At 41.4% G+C, this 10,843-nt stretch overlaps 1 annotated feature.

Moving 5' to 3' along the window:
* Positions 7,071-7,271: a silencer, noted in NCBI's record as "peak5362 fragment used in MPRA reporter construct". NCBI's record gives its function as "represses an SCP1 promoter by STARR-seq MPRAs in K562 erythroleukemia cells {active_cell/tissue: K562}" and the evidence as "EXISTENCE:reporter gene assay evidence [ECO:0000049][PMID:32103011]".

Genomic DNA, 10,843 nt, shown 5'->3' with positions numbered 1-10,843 from the left:
GTAGGTGCTGGATAGGACCCCTTCCCTGCTTTTTCCCTCTTCTAGAGTCTGCTGCATTCCCTGGCTAGTGGTCCCCTTCCTCCATCTTCCAAGACAGCAAAAGCTCTTGAAGTCCTGCTCAGGTTGCATCACTCTGATCTTTTCTACCTCCATCTTCCACTTTCAAGGACCCTTGTGACCCACTGGGCCCAACTGAATAATCTATGATAATCTCCCTGTTTTATCTGCAAACTTAATTCTCTTTTGCCATGTCAGGTAGCAAATTCATAGGTTCCAGGGATTAGGACATGGACATCTTTGAGGGAGGAGGGATTATTTTGCCTACCACATTGTAATTCTAAACAATCAGAAATAGAAATGAATCCAAGATGTGTCTGAGTAAAATAGAAGAAAGGCAAACTCTTTCTACTCTCTGCGAATGCTTCTGTGTGTAATTGGTTTTGGAGTCTTTGTCAAACAAATTTAGAGCTGCTAGATAATCCACCTAAGGACATGCACTCTTCACTGAGGTTTAGTAAGTTTTCCAACTACGGGCCCTGTCACATCAGAAAGATGTGAAATCAAGCTAGTGGGTTGTGACCATGCCTAAAAGTGTCTGCTTAATCCTCCTGTTCCCAGCCATTAAGATCATGTATATCACTGTTCCCAAACTGGATCCCACAGGAGGACGCAGGTTGACACATGCCATAAACAAGAGTTCTTTATGTACTGATTCAAAGGGTTGTGGGATTTTTAAGTGGAAACATCCTCCTCTGGCCTTCTTTCCTATCTCCTTCATCATTTTAACAGATAAGTATTTAGGGACAAGCATTTTTGTTTGGAAGGAATAGGAGCCCATTGAATGGAAAAATGGGTTTTATAGGAAGAGCTTCAGGAATCCTGAAAAATTCAAGAATAGGAAGTATACCTAGGCCTCAAGGCCATTCCTGTTCCTACCAAATTGCCTGGCACAAGTGAATACTCAATAAGCTTTGGTCCAATAAATGGAGGAATGGGTGGGCAAATGAAGGAAGAGAAAATCATCAGGAATCAAGGTAGATGCTCTCATTAACTCTAGATTTGGCTCATAATCTTACATCTCTGCTTATATGTGTCTGCTTCACTTGTCTATTTCTGCATGGTTGTATGTAGCTACTCACAATGGTGCCTTTGTAGGATGACCAACCATTCAGTTTGCCTGGGACTGAGAGGAGTTCCTGGAATGCAGGACTTTCGGTGGTAAAACTAGGAAAGTCTCAGACAATCCAGCATTGCCTCACCCTAGCACAGCCTCAGAGGGCACCTAACAAGTCAGCTTCATAAATCCAGCCCCTGTAGCACCTTTGAATTAATGCATCAAGTCCCTCCATAAGCCAATGTCATGACATTTGCAAAATTTATTGGCTCAGCTCAAACTGTGATGTTTCCCCTGTACCAGGTTTTCATCCCTGGTTCAGTCACATAACCCATCCACAATTCTATGTGCCAAGTTCTCTATGTACCAAAGGGGTGTTGAGGCAGTGTTTGGCATGTAGACCTAGTACATCATTTAGAGGTTTCCAGCAAAAGCATCCTGTCCATGATCAGGACGGCAGGGCAAAGGAATGAGGAGAATGTTGAGATTGTTAGATTTTCTCAGTGAGATCTCTCTCCTTCCTTTCCTTCTTCCTCCTTTGTTTGTCTCCCTTCATTACTGATTCACTTTTCTACGTATTTGATGACAACATGCAACAGGTATTTCTATTCTAGTGCAGCAGTGGTTCATGGACCTCTGCAGGTAGCCAAGACTCTTTCAGAGAGAAGCTGGGCTCAAAACTATTTTCCTAGCAATATTAAGACACGATTTGTCTTTTTAATGACTCTATTGACATTTGTACCGATCGTGAAAAAGTAATGATGGGTAAAACTGCTAGTGCCTTAGAATGAATGAAGACAGTGGCAAAAACTACACTAACAGTCATTTCATTCTCCATCAACATGTGGTGGCAGTAACGCTCAACAAACACCCTTTCTTCTCCTCCCAGAGGCTTTAGAACTGAGTAAGCTCAAGTAAGGTCAAATAAGGACAGCACTATAGAATGGTGTCTTGCAAGGAACCACTAGATGGGTCCAATCATGACAATTCTGTTTTCTCCAGTACCAGGAATGCAGGCTATTATTTTTCAAGACTGCTACTGAGCTGGGTCGCAGGGAGTGGGTCTAGGCTAAGTTAAAATGCCACAAAGCTCATCATTCTGAGATTCCACTGTTTCTCTTAACACTCCCTGTGTTGTTGCAAGCCTTTGGTTAATTTCTAGATTTCTGGAAAAAATGGTTCTCACAATTTTTGCCAGATTTTTCCTTGCTTTTTTATGGAAGAGTGAACTTCCAGAGATTCTTACTCTGCCATTCTCACCGACATCACTCTGTAATTACAGTTTGAATATTTTCTACAGTGAAATTTGAAAGATAATAAATGTTTGTTTATTGATCATGAACTTTCCTTTTTCTTTTTTTTGAGATGGAGTTTCGCTTTTTGTTGCCCAGGCTGGAGTGCAATGGTGCGACGTTGGCTCATTATTATCTCTGCCTCCTGGGTTCAACCTATTCTCCTGCCTCAGCCTTCCGAGTAGCTGGGATTACAGGCATCTGCCACCACGCTCAGCTAATTTTTTGTATTTCTAGTAGAGACGGGGTTTCACAATGTTGGCCAGGCTGTTCTTGAACTCCTGACCTCAGGTGATCTGCCCGCCTCAGCCTCCCAAAGTGCTGGGATTACAGGCGTCGGCCACCACGCTCGGCCCTCCTTTTTCTTAAATTATGAAAGCAGCACATACTAGCTATAAACAGTTCAACTAATACAAAATGTTTAAAGTGTTAAGTCCCTTGCTTTGTTTACCTTCTTTACCCTCTGCCTTAATGCTTCCTTCATCCTACTACATCTAACAAATTATGGAGCACCTACTACATGTAGATTGAGGTGGGCAAGTCATTGACTTAATACCTTGTTTACCTAAAACTGAGTTCTGTTACTGTTTGCGGACCTGAAAAAGCTTCCCTGGTAGATAGATGAACCAGATTACAGCTTCTGCATTTATGAGAGGAATTCTATAAAGCCCAATGGCCAGAGAACATGTTCAAATTCAGGGTCTTCGTAAGTGAGATAAATACACCAAACAGGAGTTTCTTTTCAGTAAGAAGAGTTTTACTACTAAGTGCAGTGGCAGAAGCAGGGTCACAATTCCCACAGCAGGGGTGAGTTTGTCATTCTTGTCTGCATTTTGTGTTGTGCTTAGAATGTGCTCTGGCTGCCTGAGCAGTCCTGACTACTGAAGAGCAAAGTAGATCTTTCCTTATGGTCTGCGTTGATTGAAAAAGAGGTGCCACATATACTACTTGGCTAAATTTCTTAAACATGTCTTTTAAATATTCCTTTCCTCCTCCCTCTATCCAGCAGCTCCTGAAATATCTGTCCGTATTCTTTCCCTCTCTTCCCACATTCACACACACACACAAAACCATCTATCTATCTATCTATCTATCTATCTATCTATCTATCTATCTATCTATCCATCCATCCATCCATCCATCTATTCCATTCCCTTAATCAACCTGCTTTCCTCTACCCCATCCCAGCCATTGGCTGACCTGCATAAAGTATCTCCTCTTACCCCCAGGGATGCTTCCTCTCCCCCAAAATGGCCTACACGGTTGGGCCATAGGTATGTATGGAGCATCACCAAGCTTGGAATTCTAAGACATGAAGCACCTGTTTTAAATGTCATCACCGTGAACAAACACTTGTGGAGACAAGAGCTGCAGAAAATCCCACAGGGAATATTTGCCAAACTGCCTTCTCCACAAACTCCAGTGCCTAATACTCTCAAATACTCATCCCTCTTATTAGGTGACTCTGGTCTGAAATGCACATTCTATGTTTTTCTGCCAATTACTTGCAGAACTGGTCTAGAAAGGAGTGAAATAGGAAATGTTCCTGGAGCAGTTATAAGGCTCAGGCTGAGCTGCAGTCCTCTTTTGTACACTAGGGTAATGCCACTCAGAACTACTTTTCATGGCAAACCAACAGTCTACTCACCTTTGAGGACCAGCACTCCTCTGCCTTCCCTGCTAGTACCCTTGTCTCACAGACCCTAGGGAAGATTCCTCGCCTACAGGGACCTGGGATAGTGTTTTCACCCCTGATATGGGGAGGCTTCCAACCAAGCCTGCACTGCCTCCTCCTGGAAGGCATTCGGCTGCCCTGGGAAAGCACCACCTTCCACAGCTCCTGTTGGAGCCAGTCTTACTCAAACAGCTCAACTTCCTTCCTGGTCATCCTGGCCAGTGGAAATTTCTAGGCTATCTAAATCAGACAACAGATCAGCTCAGCCACTTTACAGGACCTTTACAGGAAGGTGCAGGATACCCTTTAGAGTTAACCATTTCTTTCAAACTACAAAGGGAAAAACTTTCATTCTAGGCTACTTCACTTGAAACTATACTTTTTTAAAGCACCCTTTCACAAGAAGCATATTTCCCAGGATTTCTTCAATTTCATCTGAATTTCTCCTCTTTTCTGTGTGAGTCTGGAAGTTTCCATGAGCGCTGTGTGGATTCTAAGCCGTTTGAGGACAGACAAGCCTCCCCAGCTGTTCCTGGTTACTCCTGGTGAGCACCGGGCAAGGATAGAAGCCACCAGAGTTCCCCACAATCAGCCCACACTAGTCCAGCTGAAACTGCAGCAGCCCATCCACATTCTAAAAGACTTGAGCAGACTGCTCTTAAGGCAAGGACCCTGGAGAGGTCAAAGATCAGAATTCCTGCTCTGATTACTGAGGCTAGAGGGCAGTCATTGAAATAACTGAGGCAGGTGCCTGTCATGTAGAAGCCAATCAGACAAACAGTGCCATTTCCTGTGTGGCACATTTAATTGATTATGCTCTGGAACTTCACCTAGGGGCTTTCCACTCCAGGCAGCCAGACCCTCCTTTTATTGAAGTTTAGGTGTTAAGTCAAGACTCCCTGCATTACAAGTCTATCTTGAAACACTCTCTTTATTCTTACTTAGCCACACAGAGGAACTCAGACAAGAAAGCATTCTTGCAATTCAGGTTGAGGAGAGCCAAGCTCATTTATTGCTAATTAGAATTTAGGAGAAACCTGGAGTGAAACCGAAACAGGCAATTAATTTCCCACCTTCTCTCATTCACTTGGAACACCCGCAGGAATGTATACCTGTGTGGTTACTCAGTGCGGATCAAAAGCGCCTCTGGTTCCCAATCAGCGACACAGGGCATTCAACTTGGTACTTAAGCAGTGGTGAGAGGTCTCCACTTCTCACATTCCTCTGCACACTCCAACGAACAGAGGGAGACTCCTGGCTGAGGAATGCATGTCCCCCAGACCTGCCCCGCTCAAGATGGTGTGTTGCCATTGAAACAGGCTTTAACACCACCAGTTTCATAGCTTGAAACCTCCCCTGGCAACACCCTTCACTTCTGTTCCACATGAACCCCAATGCCCTTGACTGTCTACCACCCACCACGCAGGCTGTGTTTATAAAACCCAGGTGGCAATTTCCCGGCCTGAGCCAGCTACTCACATTAGAGTCAAGTCTCGGGTACCCACCGAGCTCAGGGCCTGATGCATAGTGGACAGATCACAATATTTGTTGAATAAATCATCCATAAAAATATTTTAAAAGTATGCCTTGGCTTTCCTCTTCCACCAGTTCAATTTATGGCTACTTTCTCTCACCCCAAGTCCAGATGGGGTCAGATATAAGCCAATTTTCTATTAGTGTGGAAAAACACAGCTAGGAAGAAAAATCTGTTGCCAATCTAGACAGGCAGATAAAGATTTCTAAGAACATTTGTTTGAAATAAATAGTTGATAAACTGCTTGTTTGTGGGAAGGGGTAAGACTCCAGGGAGCATGTCCAAATAGCAAAAGGCCTCCAAACCTTGGGGCCAGCTGCTCACTACAGGCCATTAGTTTTGTGGAGCTTTTGATGTGCTTGGCCAAACATGTCTGGATGTAGATGCTGAGACACTGGGATGTCTAGGGGCAAGAGTGACAGGTCAGCAAGGCCTGGGTGTGTGTGTATGTGTAATTTGGGTGAGGAGCACACAAAAACATCCCCCAGAAATGGCAACGTAAAGGAGAGGCTCTGGAGAACAGAAATACAAGTGAGGATGACACTGTTACAGCATGTGAGAGTAACTTCCCTTGTAGACTCTCCTCTGGGTACTACCTTGGAGAAAACCTATATTGCTCGGCAGTGCTTTGGCTTTAGTGCATTTTGTGGAAAGGAATCTTGAAGAGGTGCTAAGTTCCAAGTCTAGGTTTGCTCAAGGCAAAAAAGAGACTACAGACATGCATGCGGGGCTGAAGAGGACCAACTACATTCAGGTTATGCCTCCTCCATAAAGCAAGTGAAATCAATGGTTTTAAAATTGTTTAATATTGCCTCTTTTCCCATGCCTGTAGACTTCCTTAAGTTCCTGTCCTTCTGGCAACAGAAGGGGGTCTGTTGAAAAATAGGAAAGACGCTGGGCGTGGTGGCTCAGGCCTGTAATCCCAGCACTTTGGGAGGCTGAGGTGGGAGGATCACTTGAGTTCAGGAGTTCAAGACCAGCCTGGGCAGCATAGAGAGACCACTGTCTTTATACAAAATTTTAAAAAGTTAGCCAGGCATGGTAGCACACACCTGTGGTCCCAGCTACTCGGGAGGCTGAGATGGGAGAATAGTTTGAGCCCAGGAGGTCGAGACTGCAGTGAGCCATTATCATGCCATTGCACGCCAGCCTGGGTGGCAGAGTGAGACCCTGTTTTTTTTTTTTTTTTAAAAAAAAGGAAAAGAAAAACAAGAAAAATAGGAAAGGATGTCAGTCTGCTCTCAAAGTCCAGGGTTCTGTGGCTGAGGACTGAAGGCCTTATCTCGGGCTGATTTCAAACTACAGTCATGCATTGCTTGCTGATTTCATCATGGTGCAAACAACACAAATCTTGATGGTTTAGCCTACTACACACCTAGGCTATATGGTATAGCCTATTGCTTCGCTCCTAGGCTACAAACCTGTATAGCATGTGACTGTACTGAATACCATAGGCAACTATAACACAATGGTATTTGTGCATCTAAATACATCTAAACATAGAAAAGGTACAGTAAAAACAGCGTAAAAAAAGATTTTTAAAATGGCGCAGCTGTGTAGAACACTTACCATGCATGGAGTTTGCAGGATTGGAAGTTGCTCTGGGTGAGTCAGTGAGTGAATGTGAAGGCCTAGGACATTACTGTACCCTACTGTAGGCTTTATAAACACTGTACACTTAGGCTACACTAAGCTTATAAAAGAATTTTTCTTTCTTCAATAATAAATTAACCTTACCTTGATGTAAACTTTTTAATCGTTTAAAATGTTTTGATTCATTTGTAATAACACAGTTTAAACACACACTACAGCTGTACAAAATAATTTTCTTTATATCTTATTCTATGTTTTATATTTAAAATTTATTTTTAAACTTTTTTTGTTAAAAACTAAGACAAAACCAAACACATTAGCCTAGGCCTACACGGGGTCAGGATCATCAAGATGTCACAAGGCAATGGGTATTTTTCAGCTCCATTATAGCCTTATGGGACCATCATTGTGGCACATGACTGTACTTCAGGAAAATGGTTCATTTTCACCTTCTACCTGTAGTCGGCGAAGCTTAACGTTTATATTCTTTTCATTCAGCTCATCAACCATTATGGCAGCTGTTACTTTACCAATGCTAACCACCCTCCGTCCTTCCTGAGATTCCCTTTGGTGGTGAGTGTCTGAACCTTCTGACATTAGTATCTTCCACCTGAGAGAGATTACTTCAATGTAATTCACTTCATTTAAACATTAAAAAAAATGCTACTCTTTTGAGATCATGTTATTTGAATCATTCACAGCATCATTAAATGTAAAAGTGAAAACATTAGGATAGTTTAATTTAGCTCTGCACTCAACATTAATGAAACACCTCTTTCAACAGCAAACTCGAATACTCTCTTCTCCAAAGAAGCAGTATCCCGCAGGCAATTGCACATCATTTGTCTCAAAAATGATGCATATAAACTGTGTCTAATCTAAAAACATATACAAATTTAACATATAATGTTATATCATGTGGGATTTTAGCTCAAGCATAACTTCTAATGCCCTTAATCTGTAAAAGGAGGAAATTTAGACTAGGTCATGTGGAAGAAGTTTTCCTTCTAGCACTAATAATCCCAGGTCCTAAAGTATTTGGCCAATTTCTCTCCATCATGCCATCTAATGCATAAGTTGCAAACAATTTTTTTTCTAGCTAGAATAGAGACTTAGGCATGCTTGATTCATTTGCATGCTTAGGCAAATAAACTGAGAGAAGGAAAGGAGTATTTGTGGAGCACCTACGAAGGACCAGGTGTATTTTCCTATATACCTGTTCTTCATGTTATTACTGCAAAGTAGATATGCTTTGCAGATTAGTCAAGAGTCAGGATTTTGTTTTGTGTCTACTTTTAATTAACCAAATTCAGTGACAGCCAGAATTAACTTCAGTTGTAAAACCTATATAACCACATTTTTTCTAATATAATGCCTCTCAAATAAAATCTTTGCATATTTAAGGCTTAAATAAAAAGCATATTAGACTAAAATTATTTTTGTAATTTCCTAACTGGCAAGTTATATACCTTATTCAATTTTAAAAACTCATATCCATCTGTAGCTGAAGATATTAATATCCATACACCTCATTAAGCGCTGAGAGTTTTAACAATGACAGTTGATAATTACTCTGCCTGGGCCCGGCAATATACTAAACAATTTATAGGTTCTTTTATTTAATGCTAACAACCCTGCAAGGTAGGTAGGTAGGCACTATCTCAGTTTTATAAATGGAGGAAACTGAGGCAAACAGGAATTAGTAACAACTCTCTAAGTGGAAAATGATTGAACCAGAAATCAATTCTAGTTCTGACTGATACCAGCCTAATAGCCTTTCAAGTATTTAAATTTCTTGAAATTGTTACCTTTTGTTATGTGATAATAGTAATATTCCAATAATTTTGCTGAAGTTAAAAATTACAGAGGTCTTTGAGGAAAAAAAATGAAGACATAAACAGCCACTAAACCCATAGGGCAGCCCATGTTCAATCCTGCATGTAGGACCCAAAGATCTTTTCAGCTGCATTCACATAGAAGAGCAACAGCATCAGAAACTGCTGAACAAAAGAACTTTCAATTTCCCACATTTGGTTTGTACACAAATGACACTTTAATAAGCAACACACTGACAGCCCTAAATTGTCTTTCCTATGCTGAAGTGGCCTCTGGTATGTTCCCTGACTTCCTTTCAAACTATTACCTCCTGGTGCTGCCTGCTGGTCAACAGTTCAACTCTGATGACTGCTATTTTATTATCACATTAGGTTCTTCTTTTATAAACACAAATGGGAATAGGAAAGCAAGAATCAAACTTATTCTGTGTAAGCCAAGGTCCTGATTATTCAGCTCAGCCAACAACAGAAATTACAGGGGTACCCAAAGTGCATTTCAATTCAACTGGACTTTGGCCAGTTGAATGGAGGTCATCCATGAAGAGAAATGATAAAAGTAAACAAGCACAGAGCATTGGGAACATATCAATTATGGATCTAGTAGGTGGGTGAAATTAACGACTTAAAAGTATGTTTTTGCCCTCTAGCAGAAAACCACCTCTTTAAGCATGTAAGTCAACTGTTCAACTTGCACACAAGTTTTAGTAAACACCAGAGCCTTTGTGTGTGTGTTGGCGGTGGGGGGTCGGGGGGCTTTATGTAAGAACAGAAGAAGCAAAAAGAAGATACAACTGAATCATTCTTCTGTACCATGGGTTCTAAAAATAATTTAGAAAAATAGGTTATTGTTACTCTCCATCCAAAAAGTCTATCAGAATCAAAGTGTTCTTTACATTTATAATGGGTTTTAGTTCAATTGTTTACTGCTGGTATCTGTGAATTAAAAAGCACAAAAAATTTAACCAGAAGCTTCTGATCAAAACTTCACAATTTTAAGAACATTTCCCCTATATATTAGTAATGATCATTATAAGAGATTTTAAAAGGGCATGCATCAAGGTTTTGTGTCCTCAGAAATAGGATTTTGGGTATGGGAGTTAAGACTTACTTTGCCTTCAAACGCCCACCTAACAATTACTGTAAAAGAATACTTATTCTAGTTCATATATCTGGAAGCCTAAGAAATTCTCAGTTCTTCCTCAAGGCTACTCATGCAGACAGAACCAAGAAACTCCTTTTGTAGACCTGACCAGGAATGTAACCGTGGCAGTGTGCCTCTAAAAAGGTGCACTCATACTCCTACTTATATGTGAATCAACGCAAGGGGTATTTCCCTGATAACATCCAATGTCTCACCTTCAAAGTAAGACAGCGTTCCTTGGTTTCACTGGCATACGACACGTATGACATTTCTCACACTGATTTAGGTACTGTATGACTACTGCATCAGTTGGCTACTTAGGTGACCTGAGTGTTTACAAGAACTGCTTTAGTCCAAAAAGTAAATAATGGTCCTGATGGAGCTCCCGTGACTGTTAGCTATCCGCCCTATGCATCCACTCAAAGTTTTAACCCTAACCTCAGGGGACATTTGGCAATGTCTGGAGGAGAGGTTTTAGTTGTCACAGCTGGGGACAAGAGTTACTATTGGCAACTAGTTGCAATTGGCATGGGAGGGATCCTGCTAAATGTCCTATGATACACAGAACAGCCCCCACAACAAAGAATTAGCCACCTCCGAATGTCAAATGTCAACTGAGGTATATGCAATAAAGACACTGGATACTGGTGAAATAAAAA

This window comes from Homo sapiens, chromosome 5 (assembly GCF_000001405.40).
Source record: "Homo sapiens chromosome 5, GRCh38.p14 Primary Assembly".
NCBI lineage: Eukaryota > Metazoa > Chordata > Mammalia > Primates > Hominidae > Homo > Homo sapiens.
Note: the sequence above shows the minus strand (reverse complement) of the source record. Positions and strands in the feature narration are given on the sequence as shown.